Source organism: Homo sapiens, chromosome 17 (genome assembly GCF_000001405.40).
Source record: "Homo sapiens chromosome 17, GRCh38.p14 Primary Assembly".
In the NCBI taxonomy this organism is placed as follows: domain Eukaryota; kingdom Metazoa; phylum Chordata; class Mammalia; order Primates; family Hominidae; genus Homo; species Homo sapiens.
In genome coordinates, this window is record NC_000017.11 from 41,226,216 (window position 1) to 41,237,998 (window position 11,783).

At 41.0% G+C, this 11,783-nt stretch overlaps 2 protein-coding genes across 2 annotated transcripts; both read left to right on the plus strand.

Annotated features, from left to right (window-relative positions):
* The first annotated feature begins 432 nt into the window (after positions 1-432).
* On the plus strand, positions 433-1,437 carry KRTAP9-2 (keratin associated protein 9-2). The gene has a single exon (NM_031961.3). It carries the CDS (start codon positions 440-442, stop codon positions 962-964), a length of 525 nt encoding a protein of 174 aa, NP_114167.2. The 5' UTR covers positions 433-439; the 3' UTR covers positions 965-1,437.
* A 4,796-nt stretch (positions 1,438-6,233) lies between these two features.
* KRTAP9-3 (keratin associated protein 9-3) lies at positions 6,234-7,239 on the plus strand. Its single transcript, NM_031962.3, has one exon. The coding sequence runs from the start codon at positions 6,287-6,289 to the stop codon at positions 6,764-6,766; it is 480 nt and encodes a 159-aa protein (NP_114168.1). The 5' UTR covers positions 6,234-6,286; the 3' UTR covers positions 6,767-7,239.
* The last annotated feature ends 4,544 nt before the right edge of the window (positions 7,240-11,783 follow it).

The following is an 11,783-nucleotide window of genomic DNA, read 5'->3' on the forward strand; positions in this document are numbered from 1 at the left end:
TGTGAACATAACAGCATCACGCGACTGCCCACAGACATTTCCCAGTCTACATACAGTCAACCATGAGGCTGGACAGAGAGAACTATCTGCTTCCCGGATCACCAGGAACTATCACATGACCAGATGATGGTCAGAGCAGGAATGATGCTGGTGATGAGACTGCCTTCCTTTTATCTGAAACAAAGTTTTTATGAGTAATTCTCAATTAAGAAACAGATTAAACCCTTACTTTCAAAAGATTCATAAGATTTCAGAAACAACTTCCCCTTTGACAATCGCAAAGGGAGTATGGAAAACAGTGTAAACAACAACAAGGAAAAGTCCTGCTGATTGGTGGAAACTTTGGAGGCCAGATGTATAAAAGGTCCAGATTGCAAGGGGTCATCAGATTCTGGGAAACTCACCTCTGAACAGAAGCCCACCCTCCACCCCTGACACCATGACCCACTGTTGCTCCCCTTGCTGTCAGCCTACCTGCTGCAGGACCACCTGCTGCAGGACCACCTGCTGGAAGCCCACCACTGTGACCACCTGCAGCAGCACACCCTGCTGCCAGCCCGCCTGCTGTGTGTCCAGCTGCTGCCAGCCTTGCTGCCGCCCAACTTGCTGTCAAAACACCTGCTGTAGGACCACCTGCTGCCAGCCCACCTGTGTGACCAGCTGCTGCCAGCCTTCCTGCTGCAGCACACCCTGCTGCCAGCCCACCTGCTGTGGGTCCAGCTGCTGTGGCCAAACCAGCTGTGGGTCCAGCTGTGGCCAGAGCAGCTCCTGTGCACCTGTGTACTGCAGAAGAACCTGCTACTACCCCACGACTGTCTGCCTGCCTGGTTGCCTAAACCAGAGCTGTGGCTCCAACTGCTGCCAGCCCTGCTGCCGCCCAGCCTGCTGTGAGACCACCTGCTGCAGGACCACTTGCTTCCAGCCCACCTGTGTGTCCAGCTGCTGCCAGCCTTCTTGCTGCTGATCACGTTCCAAGAGAACCACCATCCTCACACAACAAATTTCTGCTCAACTGACTCATCTTTTGGGGGACTAATTTAATTTGCTGCTGACAGCCACCATGCTCTCACCCAAATTTTTATGAATTCTCTACATGTTTAAAATCTTGGAAATCTGCTTGAGGGAGGGCAGAATACTTCATCCTGATTCTCTTTTTCCTTACACCTTGTGGATCATGTGCCAGCTTCATCTGTTCTCAAGTTTGAGTCATGGTCTCAGCTTTGACTCTAAAGTCAAGAGCTTCATTCCCTGCTTCTAAGGAATTTAGGTTTCTGCAACTGATCGATGATCTTTGCAATCTTTTTTTTGTTTTCAATATCCTCCTCATCGTTCTTGTATCCTTCTTTCTTCTTTTCATGATAAATTTGTGTTGTGTCCCTGGTAGCAGAAATCCTTACCTATATGTTTCTGAATAAATTCTGAACCATCCTCATCTCATATAGTGTTTTGTTTTATTTGAAAGCACTCCTGATATGGGATTTACACACATATCACATACCATAGTTATTATCCAATTTGATTCTCAAAACAGGTGGTCATGCATTATTACCTTCATTTTTCACCTGAAAAAAAATTAATATGTGATGTTATGTAGCTAATAAAGGACAGATTCTGATCCAAGCTGAGGTCCTCTCTTTCTGCCCAAGGACACTTACATTTAACTCTCAACATAGTAGAAATGACATTGGAAGTCAGCACTAGCAAGACATGCACTTGAGTTTATTTAACAATGAGAGAAATAATCTCTCATATTTGCAAATAATATTTTTATTCACAAAAAAATCCCAAATTATTTTTTCCCACACCTCAGTGAGCAACAGCTGCATGACATGGCAGCAGGGATTGCATTTAATGGCTGCCCTGAATGCAGGGATCTTTTTGTCTCAGCCTCTGACCAGCCAATCATTCAATTCATCCGCATCAAAAAGATGCTTGAGAATTCATTATATCATCATAAGAGAGAGTCTCATCTGAAGTGACTTATTCTCAGTATGATGTAAATAAAATTCTTACACAGCCTCCCCCTCCTGAATACCTGTTGACAAAGTCAATGAAACTAAGTTATTCCTTGTAAAATACAGACCACACCTTATGCCACATTAAGACAATTTGTCCCCTAATCGAAATGTTATGAGGAAAATTAAGTAAGGAATTAAGCTGGGAATTGAGAAAGTACGCAATGGGTATGTAAGACGTGGCACAATCCATAATCTCTAAACCAAGGAAGGGAATGAAAGAACCTTCTGAATTTTGTAAGACCAATATGAGGCATCTAAAGAAACTGAAAACGGTGTTTGCAGGGAAATCAGAAGAATGTAAGAAAGGAGCAAAGTAGAACGTGTGCATTCATAGAAGTCATGATAGACAGAGGTTGGTGCTTTTGGTTCTGAACTGGTGCAAGCTAAGCATTCACTCAGGGAAAGATAGATTGATACTGGCTCTGAGAGAAATACAAAGTTTGGGGACCTGGGTCACCTTCTTGCGACCTCCTACCAGCATGGGAGTGGTAGAAATACCTCTGATGAGCTAACAATGTAGATTTCCATGACAGATGCCAACTTCTGAGACTGTGAATCTAGAATGCTCTGAAGACTTGGCTGAGGGATGAAGGCCACTTACTGTGATCATCGTTCAGGGATGAAGTAAAGGACATGAAAACTAGGACATTCCTTTTGACTAGCATCAGTTATGAAAGGTGAATAAGTTCAGCATGTCTACTGTACAGTAGTGTCACTATAGTTGTAAACACTGTATCATACACCTGAAATTTGCCAAGAAGTTAGATCTTATATGTTCACACCACAAAAATAAAAAGGAAATGGTAACTACGTGGGCTAATAAACATGTTATTCACAATGGATATATATATTAGAGCATCATCTTCCATACCTGAAATAGACACAATTTTTATTTGTCAATTACACCTCAATACAGCTCGAAAAAGTATTTGGTTGATCTGGTTAATTATTACAAAAATATTCTTATCTTCAACATTAAAATTAGAAATTTTCTGAACAAAAACACTAATTCTGGGCTGCCTGCTATAGGAGACATATTGGCTAAATGCTTTGTGTACACTATTATTAATTCTTTTTTTTTTTTTTTGAGATGGAGTCTTGCTCTGTCACCCAGGCTGGGGTGCAGTGGTACAATCTTGACTCACTGCAAGCTCTGCCTCCCTGGTTCATGCCATTCTCCTGCCTCAGCCTCTCGAGTAGCTGGGACTATAAGCACCCGCCACCACGCCCGGCTAATTTTATGTATTTTTAGTAGAGACGGGGTTTCAACATTTTAGCCAGGATGGTCTCGATCTCCTGACCTTGTGATCCGCCCGCCTCGGCCTCCCAAAATGCTTGGATTACAGGCGTGAGCCACTGCACCCGGCTATTATTAATTCTTTAACAAACTTTCAAAACAGGTATTAATGTTCCCTTTGTAGAGATGAAAAAATTGAGGCTGAGAGAGTTAGTGTATTGTCATAGATTAGTTTCTCCCAGAAGAGACTCTGAGGAAAGCATTCCAGTGAAACTAGTTTATTCGGAAGTGCAGATCACACTGGTAGGGATTGGGGAAGTGATACAGAAAAGGGTACACTATCAAGTCAGTATCACAGTCACCAACTAAAGCTTAAACTAAAGGGAAAACTATCAGAAATGACAAAAAAACACACAGCTAGAGTTATCCTACTTCAGGAATGAGGAAGCTAGAGTCTTTATAAATCAGCTCTCCAGAATCATTGGTTGAGAGTTTTTCTCTGTGTTGCATTCACAGGTGACATGACTTCTTACAGCAGCAATACAAGAGCTCTTAGGCACAGAGATGCAGATTCTAACAGATGGAAATTAGTCCAAGCACACTAAGATCTAATATATATGGGTGCAGTCATGAAAACTTATCTATGATCTACAATTAGCTCCACTCAAGTAAAACCTTTGCTACTTAAATGTGATGGACAGGCACAAGCTCTAGAAGAAGGAAGAAGAGGAGGTGAGAAAGAGGAGTAAGAGAAGGGACAGAAGATGAGTGGAGGACAAAAGAAAGAAAGAGAGAGAGAGAAAGAGAAAAAGAAGGAAGGAAGGGAGAGAGAGAGAAAGAAAGAAAGAGAGAAAGAAAGAAAGAAGAAAGAAAGAAAGAGAAAGAAAGAAAGAGAAAGAAAGAAAGAAGAAGAAAGGAAGGAAGAAAGGAAGGAAGAGGAAGGAGAGAGAAGAAGGAAATGAAAAGAAAGGAGAGGAAGTGAGATGTAAAATGAAGGCCAATGAAATAAGCTACACTTACTGCTGCTATAGTACAGTGCACCTGAGATTCACAGTCTCCGTTTATTACCACCAGTTCTATTCTCCCTTCACCGCTGGCCAGCACTCTTCTTGGTCTGGATAACTGCCTGATAACTGCCTTGATAACTTCCTTCCTAAATTGTCTGAGCCTCTAGTTACTATACCACTGTCCACTGTGATTGCTGTTCTTACCGATTTGTAGTTATCACTGGACATGGACACACTATGAGATTCTCCAGTGTTATGGGTTAATTTGTGTCCCCCAAAACTCATATTCAAATAGAATCATTTAAAGTGTTATGTGATAAGGCAAGGTCATATTGGAAACAATTAGGCCTCTGATTAAATATGACTGATGTCTATATAAAAGGGGGAAATTCAGAGACAGCATGCATATAACAGAAAAATTATATCAAACACACATGGAAATGATAGACATCAACAAGTCAAGGAGAGAGACCTGGAACATGTACTTCCCTCACAGGCTTCAGATGAAAACAACATTGCCAAAACCTTAATTTCTGAACTGTGAAAAGATAAATTTAAGCCACTTGGTTTACAGTAATTTATTATGGCAGTGCTGGTAAGTTAATACACTTACTAAGTATCCTGAGCTATAGATATATTCTGCTACACTATATGGCTTAAAGATAATTACCCCTCACCAAATAGTAACTCCTTTCTCTGTCTGCTGCTCTGCTGACGGGAAGAGTCCAAAATGACTAGGCGATAACGATTCCTTTTGATTATAACAAAGAAACAGAGAAGCAAATACTATAATTTTTATTCACATGGAAATTTTAAAAAGCCAAAGTCATCTACTGGATTATAACTTGATAGAGTGATTAGCTGTTTGGAAATGAGTAAGCGGATATAATTGGGAGAGAATGGCATTAATTTCTATTTCCTAACCTGGTAATGGGGACATAGATGTATTTACAATGTAATACTATATCAGGTTGGAAATTAATAATTTGCATTCTTCTCAAGTGAATGATATACCTAGACAATGTTTTCAACATGTTAGAACTCCACGATGAATCAGGTGTCATCTCAACTCATCTAATCCCTTCATTGAAAAGAAATAGAAGAAATTACTTCTACTTACTTCTTCTTCTAGTTACTGCTAGTAACTAGGTTTAGGGCTAGAGCCACAGCACATGCTGGTTGGCCTGAATTTCAACGCTTACTTCTAGTTACTGCTAGTAACTAGGTTTAGGGCTAGAGCCAGAGCACATGCTGGTTGGCCTGAATCTCAAGAAGTTACGTGATAGAAAGTCCTCCATTCTCATCCCGGAAATCCCCACACTCCCAGACAAGTCAGAATGAATGGTCGTCCTAGGGCATACATTGCTTGATGCTGTCTAAATCTCAGCAGATTTCTCTGCATCCACCTGTTCTCGATCTGCTCTGTCGCATGGAACACACTGTGCAGTCACCGTCTTCCCAAGTGACATTCAAAGAACTGAAAGACACAGATGATGTGGGTGGCACAAAGAGATGCCTGTTAGTCTTGAGTCAGAATTTGGTGGGTGAATAGTCTTGGGCCCAGGCATGGATTCATTTTGTCACTGTAAATATATCAGCATCATGCTTCTCCCCACAGACACTTCCAAGTCTATATACAGCCAAACATGAGGCTGGCCAGAGAGAACTTCCTGAGCCCCCCGGATCAACAGGAACTGTCACATGACCAGATGATGGTCAGAGCAGGAATGATGCTGATGATGAGACGGGCTTCCTTTTATCTGAAACAAACTTTCTATGAGTAACTCACAATTAAGAAACAGATTAAACCCTTAGTTTAAAAGGTTCATAAGATTTCAGTAACAACTTCCCCTTTGACAATCCCAAATGGACTGTGGAAAACAATGTAAACAGCAACAAGGAAAAGTCCTGCTGATTGGTGGAAACTTTGGAGGCCAGGTGTATAAAAGGTCCAGATTGCAAGGGGTCATCAGATTTTGGGAAACTCACCTCTTAACAGAAGCCCACCCTCCATCCCTGACACCATGACCCACTGTTGCTCCCCTTGCTGTCAGCCTACCTGCTGCAGGACCACCTGCTGGCAGCCCACCACTGTGACCACCTGCAGCAGCACACCCTGCTGTCAGCCCTCCTGCTGTGTTTCCAGCTGCTGCCAGCCTTGCTGCCACCCAACTTGCTGTCAAAACACCTGCTGTAGGACCACCTGCTGCCAGCCCATCTGTGTGACCAGCTGCTGCCAGCCTTCCTGCTGTAGCACACCCTGCTGCCAGCCCACATGCTGTGGGTCCAGCTGTGGTCAGAGCAGCTCCTGTGCACCTGTGTACTGCAGAAGAACCTGCTACCACCCCACAAGTGTTTGTCTGCCTGGTTGCCTAAACCAGAGCTGTGGCTCCAACTGCTGCCAGCCCTGCTGCCGCCCAGCCTGCTGTGAGACCACCTGCTGCAGGACCACTTGTTTCCAGCCCACCTGTGTGTACAGCTGCTGCCAGCCTTCTTGCTGCTAATCAACTCCCAAGAGAACTACCATCCTCACACAACAACCTTCAGCTCAACTGACTTGTCTTTTGAGGGACTAATTTACTTTGCTGCTGACAGCCACCATGCTCTCACCCAAATTTTTATGAATTCTCTACATGTTTAAAATCTTGGGAATCTGCTTGAGGGAGGGCAGAATACTTCATCCTCATTCCCTCTTTCCTTACACCTTGTGGATCATGTGCCAGCTTCGTCTGTTCTTAATTTGGAGTCATGATCTCAGCTTTGTCTCAAAAATCAAGAGCTTCATTCTTTGCTTCTAAGGAATTTAGGTTTCTGCAACTGATCAATCATCTTTGCAATTATATTTTCATTTTAAATATCCTTCTCATGGTTCTTGTATCCTTCTTTCTTCTTTTCACGATAACTTTGGGTTATGTCTCTGGTAGCAGAGATTCTTACCTATATGTTTCTGAATAAACTCTGAACCATCTTCATCTCATATAGTGTTTTGTTTTATTTGAAAGCATTCCTGATATGGGATTTACACACATATCACATACCATAGGTATTATCCAATTTGATTCTCAAAACAGATGGTCGTGTATTATTAACTCCATTTTTTCAGCTGAGAACAATTTAATGTGTGATGTTATGTAGCTAGTAAAGGGCAGACTCTGGTCAAAGGTGAGGTCCTCTCTTTCTGCCCAAGGACACTTACGTTTAACTCCCAATATAGTAGAAAAGACACTGGAAGTCAGCACTAGCAAGACATGTACTTGAGTTTATTTAACAATGAGAGGAATAATCTGACATATTTGCAGATAACACTTTTGTTCACACACAAAAAAATCCCAAAGTAGTTCCCCACACCTCAGTGAGCAAAGGCTGCATGATATGCATTTAATGGCTGCCCTGAATGCAGAGATCTTTTTGTCTGAGCCTCTGACCAGCCATTCATTCAATTCATCTGCATCAAAAAATGCTTGAGAATTTATTGTGGACTCAGGAGACGGAGCCTCATCTGAAGAAACTTATTCTCAGTGTGATGTAAATAAAATTCTTATACAGCATCGGTCTCCTGAATACCAATTGACAAAGTAAATGAAACTAAGTTATTCATTGTAAAATACAGACCATACGTTATGCCACGTTAAGACAATTTGTCCCCTACTTGAAGTGTTATGAGTAAAATTATGTAAGAACAAAGCTGGGAATTGAGAAACTATGCAATGGGCATGTAAGACTTGGCACAACCCATAATCTCTGAGCTAAGGAAGGGAATAAAAACAACCTTCCACATTTTGTGAGGCCAATATGAAGAATCTAAAGAAATGAAAAACTTCTTTTTCCACGGAAATCAGAAGAATGTAAGAAAGGAGCAAGGTAGAACTTGTGCATTCATAGAAGACATAATAGACAGAGGTTGGTGCTTCGGGTCCTGAACTGATGTAAGATAACCATTCACTCATGAAAGGATTGATTGATGCTGGCTCTGAGAGAAATTGAAAAGTCGGGGACCTGGGGCACCTTCTTGGGGCCTCCTACCAGCAGGGGAGTGGTAGAAATACCTCTGATGAGCTAAAAATGTAGATTTCCATGACAGATGCCAACTTCCGAGACTGTGAATCTAGAATGCTCTGAAGACTTGGCTAAGAGACAACAGCCACTTACTGTCATCATCGTTCAGGGATGAAGTAAAGGAGATGAAAACTAGGACATTCTCTTTGACTAGCATCAGTTATGAAAGATGAATAAGTTCAGTAGGTCTAATGTACAGTAATATGACTATAGTTAAAAACACTTTATCATATACCTGAAATTTACTGAGAAGGTAGATCTTAAATATTCACACCAGAAAAATAAAAAGGAAATGGTAACTAAGTGACCTAATAAATATGTTATTCACAATCAATATATATATCAGAGCATCACCTTCTATACCTGAAATGTACACAATTTTTGTTTGTCAATTATACCTCAATACAGCTAGAAAAAAACGTATTTAGTTGATCTATTTAATTAATACAAAAATATTCTTATCTTCAACATAAAACTTGGGAATTTTCTGAACAAAAAACACTAATTCTGTGTTGCCTGCTCTATGATGGGTACTGGATAAATGCTTTGTGTACATTATTATTAACTATTTAACAAACTTTCAAAATAGGTATTAATGTTCCTCTTGTAGAGATGAGAAATTTGAGGCTGAGTTAACGTATAGTCATAGATGAGTTTCTCCCAGAAGAGACTCTGAAAAAAAATTCCAGTGAAACTAGTTTACTGGGAAGTGCAGATCATACTGGTAGGGACTGGGGAAGTGATACAGAAAAGGGTACACTATTAAGTCAGTTTCACAGTCACCAACTAAAGCTTAAACTAAAGTGAAAATTATCAGAAATGATGAAAAACACATAGCTGGTATTATCCTACTTCAGGAATGAGGAAGCTAGAGTCTTTATAAATCAGCTCTCCAGAATCATTGGTTGAGTGTTTTTCTCTGTATTGCATTCACAGGTGGCATGACTTTCTACAGCTGCAATACAAGAGCCCTTAGGCACAGAGATGCAGATTTTGACAGATAGAAATTGATCCAAGCACACTAACATGCAAGATATACGGGTGCAGTCATGAAAACTTGTCTACGATCTACAACTAGCTCCACTCAAGTCAAATATTTGCTACTTAAATAGAATGGACAGCCACAAGCTCTAGGAGAAAGAAGAAGAGGAAGAGAGGAAGCAGAGGAAGAGAAGGGACAGAAGATGAGAGGAGAAGGAAAGAGAAAAGAAGGAAAGAAAAACAGAAAGACAGAGAGAAGGAAGGAAGGAAGGACGGACAGGAGGGAGGGAAAAGAGGGAGCAGGGAGGAACCGAGGGAGGGAAAGGAAGGAAGGAAGGAAGGAAGGAAGGAAGGAAGGAAGGAAGGAAGGAAGGAAGGAAAGAAGGAAGGAAGGAAGGAAAGAGATCGAAAGAAAGAAAGAAAGAAAGAAAAAAGAAAGAAAGAAGAAAGAAAGAAAGAATAGAGAGAGAGAGAAGGGAAGGGAAGGGAGGGAGGCAGGAAGGGAGAAAAAGGAAGGAAGGAAGGAAAAGAAAGAAAGAAAGAAGAAGGAAAGGAAAAGAAAGGAGAGGAAGTGAGATATAAAATGAAGGCCAATTAAATAATCTACACTTACTTCTGCTATAATACAGTGCACCTAAGTTTCATAAACTCCGTTAATTACCAAGAGTTCTATTCTCCCTTCACCCCTGGCCAGCACTCTTTTTGGTCTAGATAACTGCTGATAGAGTAGCTCAGAGCATCCTTCCTGAAGGGTCTGAGCCCCTGGTTACTATACCATTGTCCACCGTGATTGCTGTTTTTATTCATTTGTGGTTATCACTGGGCATGGACACACTATGAGATTCTGCAGTGTTATGGGTTCATTTGCGTCCCTCAAAATCCATATACAAATAGAACCATCTAAAATGTTATCTGATAAGACAAGGTCATATTGGAAACAATTAGGCCTCTGATTAAATATGACTGTGTCTATTCACAAGGGAGAAATTCAGAGACAGTATGGATATAATAGAAAAATTATGTCAAACACACTTGGAGATGATAGACTTCGACACGTCAGGGAGGGAGACCTGGAACAGATACTTCCCTCGCAGTCTTCAGATGAAAACAACATTGCCAACACCTTAATTTCAGAAAAGAGGCCTTCAGAACTTTGATAAATAAATTTAAGCCACTTTTTTTCAGTAATTCATCAGGGCAGTGCTAGTAAATTAATATACTCAGTAAATCTCCTGAGCTATAGATATATTCTGCTACACTATATGGCTTGAGGGTAATTATCCCTCACCAAATAGTAACTACTTTCTCTGTCTGCTGCTTTGCTTATATGAAGAGTCCAAAATGACTAGGCGATAAAGATTACTTTTGTTTATGCCAAAGAAATAGAGAAGCAAATACTATACTTTTTATTCACATGAAAATTTTAAAAAGCCAAAAGTTACCTACAGGATTACAACTGATAGAGTGATTAGCTGTCTTTGGGAAAGAGTAAGAGCATATAATTGGGAGAGAATGGAATTAATTTCTATTTCCTAACATAGATGTAATGGGACATAAATGTATTTACAATATAATACTATATCAAGTTGAAAATTAATAGTTTGCATTTTCTCAAATGAATGGTATACCTAGAAAATGTTTTAAACATGTTAGAACTCCATGATGAATCAGGCATCATCTCAACTCATCTAATTCCTTCATTAAAAAGAAATAGAGAGAGAAGACATGATGCTTACTGTGCTGGTAACTGGGTTGCAGCTAGAGCCAGAGCACATGCTGGTTGGCCTGAATCTCAAGCAGTTATGTCATAGAGAGTCCTACATTCTCGTCCTGGAATCGCCACACTCACAGACAAGTCAGAATGAATGGTCACTCAGGGCATAGTTTGCTTGATGTTGTCTAAATCCCAGTGAATTTCTCTGCATCCCCCTGCTCTCGATCTGCTCTGCCACATGGAACACACTGTGACAGACACCCTCTTCCCAAGTGACGTTCAAATAACGGAAAGGCACAGGTGGTGAGGGTGGTACAGAGAGATGCCTGTTAGTCTTGAGTCAGAATTTGGTGGGTGACTAGCCTTGGGCCCAGGCATGGATTCATTTTGTCACTGTAAATATATCAGCATCATGCTTCTCCCCACAGACACTTCCCAGTCTATATACAGCCAAACATGAGGCTGGCCAGAGAGCTTCCTGAGCCTCCCAGATCAACAGGAACTATCACATGACTAGATGATGGTCAGAATAGGAATGATGCTGATGATGAGACGGGCTTCCTTTTATCTCAAACAAAGTGTCTATGAGTAATTCACAATTAAGAAACAGATTAAACCTTAATCTGTTTAACCTTAAGGAAACAACTACCCTTTGAGAATCACAAACGGACTGTGGAAAACAAGATAAACAGCAACAAGGAAAAGTCCTGCTGATTGGTGGAAACTTTGGAGGCCAGGTGTATAAAAGGTCCAGAATGCAAGGGGTCATC

Excerpts from the sequence above, each read along its gene's own strand:
- KRTAP9-2 (NM_031961.3), top strand. The coding sequence starts at position 440 with ATGACCCACTGTTGCTCCCCTTGCTGTCAGCCTACCTGCTGCAGGACC.
- KRTAP9-3 (NM_031962.3), top strand. The coding sequence starts at position 6,287 with ATGACCCACTGTTGCTCCCCTTGCTGTCAGCCTACCTGCTGCAGGACC.